This window comes from Homo sapiens, chromosome 9 (assembly GCF_000001405.40).
Source record: "Homo sapiens chromosome 9, GRCh38.p14 Primary Assembly".
NCBI classification, from domain to species: Eukaryota; Metazoa; Chordata; class Mammalia; order Primates; family Hominidae; genus Homo; species Homo sapiens.
In genome coordinates, this window is record NC_000009.12 from 118,511,707 (window position 1) to 118,528,458 (window position 16,752).

Consider the following 16,752-nt stretch of genomic DNA (forward strand, 5'->3'; position numbering starts at 1 on the left):
TTTCCACTTCCTAACTCTAGAAATTCATGTGTTACGCTGTTAGAAACCCAACACACATGGAGGCCGTATCATGAAGAACTGAGACACCCTGGTTGACTGCCCTGGCTGAGCTCTGAATAGGTCATCAGCCAGCACCATGTGAGGGAATCATCTTAGACATCCCAGCCCTGACAATGCTCCAGATGACTAGACTCTGTTGACAGAAGAACCAACTGAATCATTGAGAGATAATAAAGTGGTTGTTTTAAGCCACTGAGTTTTGGGACAGAAAACCAAACTATTTGTATACAAAGTTCCTAGCTTAGGGCTCAATAAATATTTGTTGAATTAATACATGAATCATTTAATATATATATTTTTGTGTACTTAGCACTGTGCTAAATATTGCAGTACTGCTATTTGTCTTGAGAAAAATAAAAAGTGCCCAGCATGGTGATATGTCGCTTTAATCCTAGCTACCTGGGAGGCTGAGGCAGGAGGATTGCTTCAGTCCAGGAGTTCAAGACTGGCCTAGACAACATAGGAAGACCCCATTTCAAAACATAAAATATAAGGAGATTGCTTTCCCAATTTTCATACTATTATAGCATTTGTTTACAACATTTAGGAATTATTTGACTATAAATCAATGACCTTCATTTGACCTATATCAAGATCTCTTTTTCCCTATCAGGCCCCATTAGGAGCCTGAAGTACTTTCCCTAGGTACCAGGTACAGTGTATCTCCCACAACTTATTCACTAATGTAGCCCTTGTAGTGCCTGGGAATCCAGCAATATCTGCTTCTTGAATAACAGTGGAAACATGACCTATTTCAGTCATGTTGGCAGAGGTTTTGTCTTGCAACAGTTCATTCTTTGAGTAAATGAGGTGCAATCTTGAATAGCTGGAGGATAGTAAATTGATAGTTGATGGAGCTCATTCCAGCAGCCCCCATCACCCACTACTCAGTGGCAGTTTACAGGCCACTGTGACAGATTAAGTCCAAAAAGAGCACAGCAATTACAGCTGCCTTGATGCCCAGAGCACAGGATGCCCTTTTTACCTCTTTTGAGAATGAAAGAGACAGAATGAACTACCGTAGTGCACACTGCCCTGACTGTGTTTCTGTCCTTCCTATTCCCGCAACAAGGGCCATTGGAGGCTCATGAATGGTTTGAGCTGGATGAAACCTAGTGCAGTCCAAACTCATCAGTTAGTAGGTGAAGAAAAGAAGGCCCGGGAGGTTAAGTGACGCTCGGCTAATCATACAGGGAAATAGGAGAATAGCTAGGACACATGTGGGGTCACTAAGATCTTAGTCACATGTCCCTTCTATTTCAACATACTGTCTCTCTGCTTTTCTGGTACTTAAGGCTTGTTTTCAATAGCTACTCATGCTTTGGAAGAGATCTGAAATTTCCTTCAGAGGATAGATCACAGGGATGGAGATATGTACCGGAACCATCTCTAAAACCTTATCACCTTCCCATCACTAGCAATGCCTTACCTATCTAACCTCATTCATTCAGCCAAGTTACATAGGTGACTGATATGTGGAAAACTCTATAGATGTTTCAGGGGACATAAAATTGTAGAACACTATTTTCTGGGTTTAATAAATTTGAATTTGGAGCAGAGTGATAAATATTCAATTATCTACAATAAAAATCAGTATGTGATAAATGTTCTATGCATGTGATAATTAAGTTTAATTAAGCATTCCAATTACATAAGCACTAAATTATTTCCACAAAGCAGTTGAAGTCATACAGCGTTTATAGATATCATACAAAGTGCACTTTGCCTCGAGCCCTGCCACCTAAAGTATGTACCCTGAACAGGAGCTTCAGCACCACCGGGGGGAGGTTGTTAGAAACGCAAATTCTCAGGCTGCACCCCAGTCCCATTGAATCAGAATCTATACTTTAACAAGATCCTAGGAGGTTTGTATCCATATTAACTTTCAAGAAACCTGAAACAGAGGAACAAGTAGAGAAAAGAGGAATGGATTTTTGTCTGGTGTAGTTAAGGAAGACCCCACAGCAGAGGGCAGAAGATTGACGTGTTCATCAGGGCTCTTGGATCAGACAGCTGGATTCAGCTGGAGAAACTTGGGTACATTATTTACATATTTTTATTCATAAAATGGGCATAGGCTAGGCATGGTAACTTGTACTTGTAATCCTAGCATTTGGGGTGGCTGAAGCAGGAGAATTGTTAAGGCCAGGAGTTTGAGACCAGCGTGGGCAACATAGTGAGACCCTGTCTCTACAAAAAAAATACAGAAACCAATCTGGGCATGGCAGTGCATACCTATAGTCCTAGCTACTCAAGAAGCTGATGTGAGAGGACTCCTTGAGCCAGGAGATTCAAGACTGCAGTGAGCAGTCTTGCCTTAGCAAGGGTGCACCCCAGCCTGGTTGACAAAGTAAGACCTCACCACTATTAAAAAAAAAAAAAAGAAAGAAAGAAAGAATGAAAGAAAAGCAAAAATAAAGAAAAAGAAGGCCAGGCGTGGTGGCTCACGCCTGTAATCCCAGCACTTTGGGAGGCCGAGGCGGGCGGATCACAAGGTCAGGAGATCGAGACCATCCTAAACCCCGGCTCTGCTAAAAATACAAAAAATTTAGCCGGGCATGGTGGCGGGCGCCTGTAGTCCCAGACACTCGGGAGGCTGAGGCAGGAGAATGGCTTGAACCCGGTAGGCGGAGCTTGAAGTGAGCCAAGATCGCGCCACTGCACTCCAGCCTGGGCAACAGAGCGAGACTCCATCAAAAAAAAAAAAAAAAAAGAAAGAAAGAAAAGAAAAGAAAAGAAAAAGAAAGAGAAAGAAAGAAAGAAAGAGAAAAACTGTCATAGAATCAGGGCCTACCTCCTAGGGTGCAAGAAAATACTTAATATGCAAAAGTACGGTAGGCACCGGGAATTAAAATGTGGGCATGAAAAAAGGAAATTCCACAGCATTGTTGAAACTGATAAGATGGAGGGAATAGGGTTGTGTTTAATATTAACCAGATGGTTGCCTGAGTGGTAATGCTATTAGTAAAAGTAGGGAAGCTGAGGGAAAAGAAGTTCCGTGGAGTGGAAGTTGGTGGTGGTGACATCACTGCTGGTCTTACCCTGTGAATTTGGGCTCTTGAGTATCGCTCCATCTTGTCAATCTTTTGACACCAGAGAATGTTCATGAATTAGTACAGTAGATGTAGGAATAGATTCTTCCTCTCAGTTTCATCCTTCTACTGTGCTCCCTGGGGACCCTTGAATATTTTCCTGAAATAGATACATAGCAGCCTTACACTCCACTGTAAAAAGGCTCCCTAAATGCAGCTCCATTTTTCATTCCACATATCATTTTGCTTTATGCACATAGTCATGTAATGTAAAGGGTAATTCAGGGTTGATAAATTAGCAGCCAGGAAAGAGGCCTATAAGGAGCTTCAGTAAGCCATTTAGTATTTGCTGAGTTCTGTAGAGCTTTGGTCTTTTCTCACACCCAGAGGTAGTAAATATCCCTCTCCGGGTGGTACTCGTGGAGAGTGCTTCTGCATTTTGATACTCTGAAGTGATTCCTGCAAACAACAGTTGTTTCACATTCTAGACTAGAACTTCAGAGTCATGTACAACTGGTGAGCTCTTCCCATTCGTAGGAAAACTAAAGCCCGGGGAGGAGTCATCACTTCTCAAGGTTTTTACTCATTAGGTTGTCTAAGGTGAGTTCTTTAAGCCAGATAATAGATTTCTTTTCTTACTTTTCTTTTTTTCTTCTCCCATCTCTCTTTTCCCACTCCTGTCTCTGTGTCTATCCTTTTATGATTTCACTGCTGGTGAAAGGTTACTGATGTTAGGTAAATAGAACCATAAAATCAAATTAAGTCAGGATTAAATAGGGAGCATGCATTGAGAATATTTTTCTTTCTCTGTAATTGAGATGCAGTAGTCTGATTGTGTCCCTGTGTAATACCTCTGCAGGTTTAGGATCTGAGATCTCTGGTCAACCTTAAGCTCCATATGAATCTAGAATATGACATATCTGGGGAAAAGGGGACTAAATTAAAAGCATCTGATGCAAACATCATCTCAGATGAAGACTAAGCTGATGATGATGAAGCTTATATAATCAGAGAGAGACTGGCTATTATGATTTTAAAGTTTCTTCTGACCCAAAGAGTTCACTTCTCTGGGAAAGTCATTTTACTCAATTTAGCAGCTCCAAGCTGTTAAAATTGAAGAGAAACGGAAGATAAGGTGAGCTTTTTTTAAACTCGAAAATTGCATATATGAGCTCTGAATTCAGCATCTTCATTCCTTCCGAATTGGCTCTCCCGTCAAGGCTTGCCATGGTAGAAATAAGTGGTTGTTTTTGAGGCCATGAGGGATTATTTACAAAGGAAATCCACTTGCCTCACATTCCCTATCCTAATGGACTCTTTATTGAGCTTATCATCTTGTTGATAACACAAAATCACTTTGCTACCAGGTTCCTCTTGTTCCAGGCCAACGTGTTCTGATCTTTATGGGAAAGCATCGTGATCTAGAGAGGATACCAGGCTAGATAGCAATGGCCTGGCTGTGTTTCTATCTCCACTAACAAATTGCTGACTATGAGCCACTTTCATGTATCAAATATAATAATTCTTATCCCTGGCATATGTATAGATAGCTACAGTTTCAAATCACTTTCGTGTCTAGTTTTATTTTTAATAGATTCTCAGAATTACCATTGAGAAGGGTAGGGTGATATAGATATTATTTTACCATTTTACTAAAAAAGAAACCCACAACATGGTAAGTTAAATGATTGCCTAATGTTATACTAGAATAAGTGTTAAAAGGTCTTTGAATTCAAAGTTTTTTACTCTTAAAATATTATGTATATACACATATATATACACACACATACATATATTTAAAAGTAAAATTATGCCTCATGCAAATATAAAATGAATACATTATATATTTTATTTAACACACTAATTAATAAGGGAACCAGTAAGATGTTACAACTGGTTTGAAGAAAAACTCAAAGTTTTAGTTATTTATGGTCAAGTAAGGAATGCTGAAATGAAATTACAAGTGAATTTGTAAATTTCAAATATGTAATAACTGTTCAATATACACAGGATCATAAGCATTTGCATTCCATGAGCATAATTTGCATTTCTATGTGAGGGGTTTTTCTTCAACCCCCATAGGTTTATATTTGGACTAAACCCCTGTAATAAAAGACACATTTACAAGAGAAAAACAAACAGATGTTTATTAATATGTATATTTCATATATACATGAGAAACACTCGGGATCAGTAGTTCTCAAAGAGGCTTGAAATCTAGCTAATGTAGCATCTTCAACAAAGAGCAATAAAGTTTCAGAGAAGTAACCGAAGGAAAAGGACTTTGAGCCTTTAAGGACTGCAACTTGGAAGAAGGCAAATAACTGGCAGAAAAATGTTAGTTAGTAGAGCTTCTTAATGTAGATTCCCTCTGGGACCATCTCCAGACCGATAAAGATGTAAAGCTGTCTTTGGCGATTAACCTTTTTCTCCTTGGTATAAGGTGGGGTGAGTGAGGGGGTTGCCCTTGTAAATCTATGCTCTGCTTTTAGGCAAATAGATGGAGTACAGAGAGCTTTCCTATATCTGTGTCTTCTTAATTGTTTTCAGTTCAGCCATCTTTCACATCTTGGGATGGCATATTCTGTCCACCCCACCATGAACAAAAATTGTTTGTATTATTATCATCTTCTAATGACCTGCTGGGTTATAAAATAACTCACAGACAGTGAAAGGGAGAGATAACCATGATGGGTGAGCCTCTTACAAAATTTTCCACACATTCCTATGCTTGGAAATATAATGTTCTCATTTTATAACATTCTATTACCATACCCTAAAAAAAAACCCAGCATAATTTTCTCCCTCCCCTTGACCCCATAACTGATCATCTCTGATGTTTGTTATATCCATATCAATATTTTAGGGTTGCTACTCTTCAAGAAAACATGCTAAAATATTCAGATAACAACAATATTGGTAATAATATAAAAATAACTACCATTTGTTCTGGCAGCTACTACATGCTGATTGCCAATGACATCAATTAATAAATGTTTTTATCTTATCTCATTTGATTGTCATGGCAATCTTACAACATATGGGCAATTATTATGCCAGTTTGACAAATATAAAAACAGGCATCAATATAGCAATTAATTTGCCCAAAACTATCCATCTAATATTCAGCAAAATGAGATCCTGTTTTACTTTTTTGTAATACTTACATGAAGAAAATCATGGAGAACATATTTAGCAGCCATGTACTTGAATTTGCCCATCTAAAATAAGGGGAAAACATAAAAATATAATATTATTAACGCTACAAGGGATTCAAGGACTTCAGGAAGGAAAATATTACATCAACCTGTGTCCCTCAGAGTTGTCTCTGAAGTCTCATTATGAAGTGAATGATTTTTAATCAATTTCCTTCATTGGAGTTCCATGGAGAGATTGTTCTGGAAGAAAGGGGTAGTGGTGTAGTCACTGTTTATAGAAAAGGAAATTTTTGCTTTAAACATTGTTTATTGCAAAAGGAAAAATTTTTGATAAAATCATGGCCTCTGAAATTGTATATAGCTAGAACTCTGCTGAGTGATTTAACAGATATGCTATTATAGACATGTTATTTAAGCTGCCTGAACTTCCTCATCTTAAAATAGAAAAAGTACCATTATCTACCACAAAAGGCACTGTGGATTAAATAATATAACGTGGGTAAAAAATTTAGCATTGCGCTTTGCATACAGCATTCAATAAATAGAAATGGATATTAATTATTATCATTATTATTATTAGACACCATGCTTTCAAATTCAACATACTCTTTTAATGTTACTTTATATGTTAAAATAATTATTTTGCCTGAAAAAAAATTAAGTAATAGACATTTTAGAGTGAATGTTTATAAACCACCCTACCCCTACCCTCTCTTTGGAGATTCTCTTACATGCCCTCAGGGAACTGTGTTTTTTTCAACTGACAACATGGGACTCGTTCTCCAATGTTCATTTTATTTTGGTGTTCCATTATAAGGCAGGCTATTCACCAGTTCTCTGACATAAGCATATAGACAGGAATGGGGCACAGTTTAATTGATACCACAGTAAGAACAATCCATAGCCTTTTGTTTGGATGAACAACCTGAGACAACTATGTCTTTGATTTGGAAACAATTACTTTAAATTTGCTTAAGTCAAATATCTCACTTTGAAAAGTTTACCATTCAAAAAGCATTGTTAATATAACCCATTTCAGCCACTCATTCTATTTTGTTTCAGATTTGTTATTGAACAGTGAGAAGGACAGAAGTGGAAGGATGAGGCCCCTCTCTTCCAGGGACTAACCGTCTAGTGTCCTGCATTCACATGGACACTCTTTGTGCAAGATATAGAGTATTAACAATAGAGATCAAATCCAGAGGTTACAAACTGGTAGCCTAAAGGGCCTGCAGATATGTGCGTATTTGACTTGAACTCTGTTGTCTCACCCCCGGTTCAAAAAATTAGTAATTAATTTCCCAAATTAAATAAAAAATATATTTAACATTTCACAAGAAATTCAGAAAATTCTGGTGTTTCCCTTACCTGGGCCTTAACTCCCTAGGTAGTAATCATCAGCTGTATGTAAGCAGTAGCTGTCCTGTGTAAAACACTCTAGGGCTCTCTACTTCACCCTGCCCAGCTTAAAACACAGTTTTATCGTAACTACCTTGTCCCTGTGTGCATCTGAGCCCATGACCTCTGAAATAGTGATCTTTGACAAAACTACAATATGTATAGAGCAAGAGATTATTGATTTCAACAAGAAAGACATCTGGGGAGATGACAAACTAACAAGTGAGTGCTTACTATGTTTTACAAACTTTATATATATTTTCTCTATTAATTCTTGCAACTATTGCCTAAAATAGGTAGCTTTATTGCTCCATTCTCACACTGCTATGAAGAAATACTCAAGACTGGGTAATATATAACGGAAAGAGGTTTAATTGACTCACAGTTCCACATTGCTGGGGAGGCTGCAGGAAACTTACAATCATGACAATCATGGTAGAAAGCAAAGGAGAAGCAGGCACCTTCTTCACAGGGCTGCAGGATGAAGTGAGTGCAAGTAGGGGAAATGCTAGATGCTTATAAGCCCATCAGATCTTGTGAGACTCACTCATTATCACAACAGCATGGGAGAAACCATCCCCATGATCCAATTACCTCCATTTGGTCCTGCCCTTGACACTTGGGGATTATGGGGATTACAATTCGAGGTGGGAGTTGGGTGGGGACACAGAACCAAACCATATTGGCAGCACTGTAGCTCTTCTATATTTGAGGAAAATGAAGCTCAGAGATATTTAGATATGACCTAATTGGCAGAGCTAAGATGTAATTTAAATATAGCAGAGATGAAACAACCCAACAAAATTTGTTTTGTAAACAGACATATTTCTTTTTAGTTTACATTGGTCAGGACAGAATAAGCTTATGTGGTGGTAATAAACTTGGATATATATCAATAACTCAATAGCTCAACAAATAGCAGTGGCTCCAGCATTCACCAGGACAGTTCCCTTACAAGAAGTGACCAGTGATATCAGCAGGATTTGTCTTGAGGCTTCATCATTGCAACAGGAGTTCTCCACAATCACTGTTGCAAGCAAAAGAGGGAAAGTGAACATCATGCATGGGCTTTCACTGTTTCAACCTAGGTATGTCACTTCTGTTCACAGTTCATTGTCAAAAATTTGTGGGAACTCCCTATCCATAAGCAAAAAGGCTAAGAAGTCTTCCCCATACCTGTGGCTAAGAGGGGAAAATGAGCACCAGTAGTGTCTACCATGATGATCTTGGGCAAATTACATGAAATATTTGTTTTCCTTTCCTTATTGGCATAACAAACAAACAAACCAAACAAAAAAACACATAAAACCTGATACCTTTCTCACAGCATTTTGGCAGTGGTTAAGACAATGACTATGAGGAATGATTTCAAATGACCAATAAATTAACCTCTTTGGGTTGCTATATCTGATAAAGACAGTGTGGAGGCATAGGCATAGTGCTTTTTTAGAACTGAGCCAGGTAACTGAGCCATAGCCTCAGTTCCCATGCTGATAATTATGTAACTGCAGACAAGTCTCTAAGGTTTCATCTAAAAAATTGGAAGATTGAACTATAGGATCTCTAGGCTTCCCTCTGCTCCACAATAGTCTATATCTGCCATGAGTTTCTTACAGCAACTACCAGGTCTGTCGATCAGCACCTCACTTGCTTGTCCCTTGATCCAGCAGTTCTTTTGTTGGGAGAAATCTTGAGAAATGTGTTTTCATTTCAGGATTCCATCATGACCAATGCCCAGCACTGTGGCAGATGAAGAGTAAAGGTTTCCGTAAATGAATAACTACTCTAGGCCAGGACAATTGTAAATATAGTGTTAGAATCTGGACCATAAAACACACTTTGAAAGTGATATGGTTTGGATGCATGTCCCTTACAAATCTCATGTTGAAATGTAATCCCCAGTGTTGGAGGTGGAGCATGGTGGGAGGTGTTTGGATCATGGTGGTAGATCCCTCATGAATGGCTTGGTGCCCTGCCCGTGGTAATAAGTGAATTGTTACTCTTTTAGTTCACAAGAGATCTGCTTGTTAAAGGGGACTAGTGCCTCTCCCCTCTCTCTTGCTCCCTCTCTTGCCATGTGATACACCGGTTCCCCTTTTGCCTTCTGTCATGATTTTGTACTTCCTGAGGCCTCACCAGAAGCAGATGCTGGCACTATGCTTCTTCTACAGCCTACAGAACCATGAGCCAAATAAGCCTTTTCTCTTTATAAACTATCTAGTCTTCGGTATTCCTTTATAGCAATGCAAAATTGACTAACACAGAAAGTATTCAATTTTGTAAAGGATTCAATGATTTTCAATGAAAAGAACTTCATCCTGGGATTCTGGAGACCTAGATTCTAGTTCTGAGTCTAACAATAGCCTGCTATGTATGGAATATCAAATTTTTATCCCTTCTCTTGGCCTCTGTTTCTTATCTGTAAATGTAATAACTAAAGAATGCATGGGTTTTATCTCTAGTCAAATCCAAAATATTGATGGTAAAAAAACATTAGTGGTCATGTTAGAAGGATTGAGAGCAAGTCTAGGATCAGCAAAAACATATAGCATGATTGATTAGACATGCTCTTTATGTGCGCAGAAAATGACAACGGTAATATATACAAAAGTTATGTATTCACTGTTTTTGGACTAGATAAACGTTGAGGCAACTGCTAACATTTTATCATGCTATGAATGAGCAAAATCCCTCTTAGAGAGAGGGTCCCTTAGACCTAGAATATCAGAAAGCAAATACTAACCGGCCAATTTCCAAGCCAAAATCTAAGAGCAAGCCAGAAATAAATAATAAGGTCCTGAGACCCAAAGAGAAACATTTGCTAGGCTATGTGGAAGACCTGGCGGTAGAGGGTTAAGAGTTTCGAGCCTGAGCAGTCTGTAGTGTATGTCAGCCAAAAGGGGGCAGTAGAGGCCAGGCTCAGCAAAGTGGATCAGATGAACTAAGCAGGCCCCTCTGCTGCTGCTCTCTGCTGTAGATGCCAGCTTCCAGGTGACCACAGAGGGGAAATGCCTGATGCTTAAATGACAAAGCAGAAGTGGTTTTAGCCAAGGTGCACTTGTACCATGTGGAGAGGAAACTATGACTTTTCATTTGCTTTTAAACCATTCCCCCCTCACCATCTTGAACTTTCTGACCTGAACCAGCAAATTCACCCTAAGCGAGAACAGCAAATTGCACATCACTTGCTGACCTGGGAGGGCTGGACCAGAGCACCTGGCTATTTTCATGCAACCCCTGCCAGTGTTTATTTCTGCCTCTTGGAGTAAGGCTTGTTAGGAAGGAAAATTAACTCATCAGCTACTATTAGCAGGGCCTAAGGACTGCCAGGTTTTTCTGGGAAATGGCAAACCTCTCACTGCCCTTCCCAGAAAGGCCTTCCTCCTGCCAGGAGGCTGTTTAATCAGAACCACAAACAATCGTGAATAAAGGGAAGGTAGTCATATTAAGCAGCACCTGTCCTGTAGGGAACGCAATGATTGCAGAGGAAAAACACAGAGTGAAGCCTGCTTGCATCTCCCTGGGGTGTAGAGACTGACTTCCTCCCACAGCGTGAGTATAAGCTGCTCTCTGTTTTCCCGATGACCTCTCTCTGATGCTAATCTTGATCCTGTTGCCCACCCGTTTAGTGGTGATATATTCAGCCTACATTACATAATTATGGTTATATATAGTTATTTGCAATACAGCGTACATTTATTTTAGCGATGAGTATTAAACGTCTTCTCCTCCCATCATACCACTCCCTCCAAGGCTACATTGGTAACCTTCTAATTGATTTTTCTGTTTCAATTCTTACCTCTTTCAATCCATGCACTACAAAAACAGCCAGCGTGATTTTTGAAAAACAAGCTTGTGTTACTAACTCTCTTGGAAATTTTGTATAGTTTCCCATAGCATTTAAAATAAGTTTTCAACTTCTCACCATGACCTACCAGGTCCTACTTGACCTGTAACCTACCCGCTCTTCCACTCCATCTCATGACACTATTCCCCATACACATTTGCCCCATCTTTCTTTTAAATCTTAGAAAATATGAGATGTCATATTGACTGACTGTACATGCAGAAGCAGAAATGTTCTTTCATGTATTTCTTTTTAAGAGCAATATTGTATTTTTCCAGAAGCCCCTCCAACAGTTATTTTCTTATGGTCTTCTTGGCTAAAACTAAGTAAAAGGCCACATGTAAACCAATCACTATTAAGAGAAATGGAACCATACTGACTTAGATTCATTGTGATTCAATCCCCATGGTGACAATGAGTATAGCATTTTCTGAAGCACATTTAAGAATCTTAAAGTAAGGGAATGGCTGTTACATATGAAACCAATAATATCTCTGCAATTAAAAAAAATAGGATTTAGCCAGGACATAGAACTTAATGAAGGTAATTGTACACATAAAGACTAGTTTGTGAAAAAGCACAGGTATTGGGAAATGTCAAGTCTAATTAGAGTATTTAAAATATCCCATTTAACTAGAATGTAGGGTGTGATAGGAAAGACAAGTAGATGATTGGAAATATCAGTTGGAAAATAATTATAGAGTCTCTGATGTCAAGCAATCATTTTTGAATGAATTAGAAAACTTTGGAAAATAAGTGACCAATTTGAAGTTTTAAATATTTTATATATCAAAAGCCTGACTCCCCAATAATTGAACTCCTTAAAGACATGTACAATCTCTTCTCCTAAAATAATAATTTTGCAGAAACTTTCATACATTCTTATATTTAGATAACCCTAAAAATCCACCAAAAAACTGTTAAAAATAATAAATTTCACAATTGCAAGATATAAAAGCAATGCAAAAATCAGTTGTGCTTGTAAATGCTAGCATTAACCAACAAAATAGAAAATAATCCCATTTATATTGGCAATCAAAGGAATAAAATATTCAAAAATAAACTTAACTGAAGAGGCAAAATACTTGTACACTGGAAACCACAAAACATTCCTTAAAAAAGAAAAAGATACAAATAAATGGAAAGACCTCTTCTGTTAATGGATTAGGAGACATAATATTGTTAAACTGTCTATAATATCCAAGTTATCTACAGATTCAATGCAATCCTTTTCAAATGTCCAGTGGCAGTTTTTGCAGAAATAGAAAGGCCATCCCCAAATTCATATAAAATCTAAAGGGACCCTGAATAGTCCAAGTAATCTTAAGGAAAAAACAACAATTCCTGATTTCAAAACATACCACAAAGAAATAGTAATCGAGATGGTGTGGCATAAAGACAGACATATAGATAAATTGAATAGAATAGAGAAACCAGAAATAAAACCATGCACATATTGTCAAATGAACTTTGCAAGGGTACCTACATTACACAACGGAGAAAGAGGAGTCTCTTCAACAAACAGTGTTGGGAAAACTGGATATTCACATACAAATTAATGAAACTGAACCCACATCTTACACTGTTTACAAAAATTAACTCACAATGGATTAAATATATAAACTTAAGACTTAGAACAAGAAAACTTCTAGACGAAGATGTATTGGAAAAACTTCAGGACATTGGATTTGCTAATTATTTCTTGGTTATGACATCAAAGGCATAGGCCCAAAAGCCATAATTAACAAATGAGACGTCAAACTTCAAAACTTCTCAGCATAAAAGGAAACAATCAACAGAGTGAAAAGACAATCTAAAGAATGGCAGAAAATATTTGCAAATTATGTGTCTAATAAGGAGTTAATATCTAGAATATATAAGGAACTCTTATAATGTAACAATAACAGAAAAATAACTCAATTTAAAAAAGAGCAAGAACTTGAGTAGATAATTCACTAAAGATATTAAAAAAGACCAGTATTTATAAGAAAATATGTTCAACATTACTAATCATTAAGAAAAATGTAGACTAAAACCACAGTGAGGGCCAGGCATGGTGGCTCATGCCTGTAATCTCAGCACTTTGGGAGGCCACAGTGGGAGGGTCATTTGAGGCCAGGATTTCAAGACCAGCCAGAGCAACATAGCAAAACCCTTCCTCTACACACACACAAACAAACAAACAAGCAAACAATTAGCCTGATGTGCACCTATAGTCCCAGTTACTCAGGAGATTGAGGTGGAAGGATCAGTTTAGGCCAGGGAGTTGAGTTGGCAGTGGGTCATAATCACACCACTGCACTCCAGCCTAGGTTATGGAGTGAGACCCTGTCTTAAAACAAGAAAACAAACAAACAAATAAACACAACCAGAATAAACTATCACTTCATACCCATCAGACTGACCACTATTAAAAGAACAGCAACAAGAAAATCAACAAGTGTTGGTGAAGATAGAAATTGGAACCCTTGTGTTCTGTTAGTGAGAATGTAAAATGATGCTGCCATTATGGAAAACAGTGTGGATGTTACTAAAAACATTGAAAATAGAATTACCATATGATCCAGCAATCTAATTCTGGGTAAGTATCCAAAACAAAGCAATATTTCAAGAGATATTTGAATACCGATGTTCATTACAGCATTATTCAAAATAGCCAAGAGGTAGAAACAACCCAAATGTCCATTGACAGATGAACAGATAAAAAAAAATGTGGCATATTCATGCAATGGAATGTTATGGAGTCTTAAAAACGAAGAAAATCCTGTCATATACTACAACATAGATAGCTTTGATGACATTATGCTAAGTGAAATAAGCCAGTCAAAAAGACAAATATTATATGATTCCAGTCATGATTATATTATGTCATCCACCTAGAACCTGTGAAGATGGCCTTATTTAGAGAAAAGGGTTTTCACAGATACAATTCAGCTCAAGGACGTGAGATGAGACTGTGCAAGCCTAAAATTAAATAACAGGAGAAAAAGCAGAGGGTGATTTGAGATATGGAGACACAGGAAGAGAAGAAAGCCATGTAGAAATGAGAGTAAAGATGAGAGTGATGTCTACATGCCAAGGAATGCCAGGGTTTGCCAGTAGCCACCAACAGCTAGAAAAGATTCTCCCTCAGAGCTTCCAGAAGGAACCAATGCTTCTGATACCTTTCTTTCAGACTTATGCCCTCCAGAACTATGGGACAATAAGTTTCTGTTTTTGTAAACCATAAAGTGTGTGGTAATTTGTTAGAGCAGTTCTAGGAATTTAATATAAATGATTTGATAATCAAAAGACAATGAGTATCACCATCAGTATAGATCAACATATTAGTAACTGGTGAATCCTGTAGTAATTACTTTATGTTTAGATGGTGATCAATATTTTTAGAATCTGCAAATCACTATGAATTCTTTACCTGTAAAAGTACACATGTCCAATACATTCACAGCCTTATATACAATTATGAGGTTGGGAACCTGTTAAGCCCAACCATGAACATAGAACACATATCTAAAACCACTCTCATTCTCACCTTCAATGATACATGATCTGAAACAAGAAAGACGAGTGAGGTTTTTATAGACACAAAAGAGAAGGCCTGGAGACATGGTATTGAGGACTACGAAAATAGAAACATTGGGTTAGGTAGACACTAAATATTTGGAAGACTTTGAATCATGTGCCAAAGAATGTGGAGTTTGTCTTTTAATTACTAGGGATCCATCAAAACTTTTATCTAAGAGAATCATAATAGGAGCTTGATATATGTGCAAATGAACAAAGCCAATTACATTTAGGAAGTCCAATCAACACCTTGAAAAGAATAGATTATCTTTCACAACAAAATTATAATGCATGAACTATGTGATCTAAGCTGCAGCATATAATTCACTAATATTCCAGCAACAAAGATGTCCAGGGAGCATACTTGGGGACATATGGAGCGTTATGAATTGCAGTCTTTCTTTGCAACTCCAAATAGACTATTATATATTTTCAAATTGCTTATTTCAAAGCAGAGTTAGTTTCTCCCATAGGTACCAATTCATATAACAGCAACCTACAGAACAGCCCTCTGTGGCAAACATTATTAGATATTAAAAAGAGAAAAAGAAAAAAATAAATGAAGTCATTGGAGGAAAGTGGTCTTTTCCTGTCTCTTGGGCTAGATATCAATTCTCCAGGATTTCTTTCTCCTCTTTACAAGATAAAAATGTGACATAGCTGAGGACCCCCTGTAGAGAGAGAATAAAACATGAGATAGTATGTTTGGCCTAGGAAAGTGAGTAATGTGGAAAATTCTAGCAGACATATGTAGTGTGAAGGAGATCATGAATTAGAAAAGACTTGAATTTCAGAATCCGGGATCTGGAAGTTATTTACTGTATACTCTTAGCCAAGTGATTTAAAATATCTGGGCCTTACTCTCTCTATCTTTAAAATGGAGAGAATACTCACCTCACAGAGAGTAATTAAATGACATAATATATCTGATTCTCTAGACAAAGATTGTTTGCTCAGAAAATATTGAATCCTTTTCATTGATGCAGAGAATGAAAGTAGAGAAGAAAATTAGGGACACGTGAAACACAATTCTTTCAATGTATGGCCTGTCCATATATATATGTCACATATTCCTGTGCTCAGGTGACTTCTTATATTTTAAGATATATGCAGTCCACAAGGCCTTCACTGATCACACTCACACTAAACTGGAAGCAAACGGAACACAATTCAAATTCCTATGGCCACTATTTTTCAATAAAATCATTTTGCATACTTGAGCTCCAGTTTCCTTATGTAAAGAGGGGGCAAAATAGCAACCCTAAAGCATACTTTGAGGACAAAAAATAGTTTAATCTTACTCAAGCTCATCATAAAACACCCCTCTCCTTAGCTGTTAGAATTAAAAGTATGTGATACTTCAACTTTTTCTTTATATTTTCAGTGTTCTTTGTACATCTGAATTTTTTTCAGCTATTACAGTAGTTACTATTTCCAATTTGAATGGTTATTGTGTGTTCAACTGGGAAAATGATTTATTTATTATATGATGAAGGAGATGCAGTCATTATCTGCAATTTTCAAATGAGGAAAATGAGATTTGAAGATAAGAAGTGACTTTCCAAAATTTTACAAATAATAAATTGGAGCTGGGATTCGTGTCCAACACTGTTTTTTGACTTCAAAGCCTGAATTCTCATTTTTTTTTTTTTTTAATTTTTTTTGTTGAGATGAAGTCTCACTCTGTCACCCA

General features: G+C 37.4%; 1 long non-coding RNA gene across 1 annotated transcript; it reads right to left on the reverse strand.

Moving 5' to 3' along the window:
* Positions 1–5,334: 5,334 nt before the first annotated feature.
* Positions 5,335–11,791, reverse strand: LOC105376248 (uncharacterized). Its single transcript, XR_930294.2, has 3 exons — positions 11,448–11,791; positions 6,260–6,313; positions 5,335–5,731 (listed from the first exon to the last, which is right to left on the reverse strand). It is a non-coding gene; the product is annotated as an uncharacterized LOC105376248 (long non-coding RNA).
* Between the last annotated feature and the right edge of the window lie 4,961 nt (positions 11,792–16,752).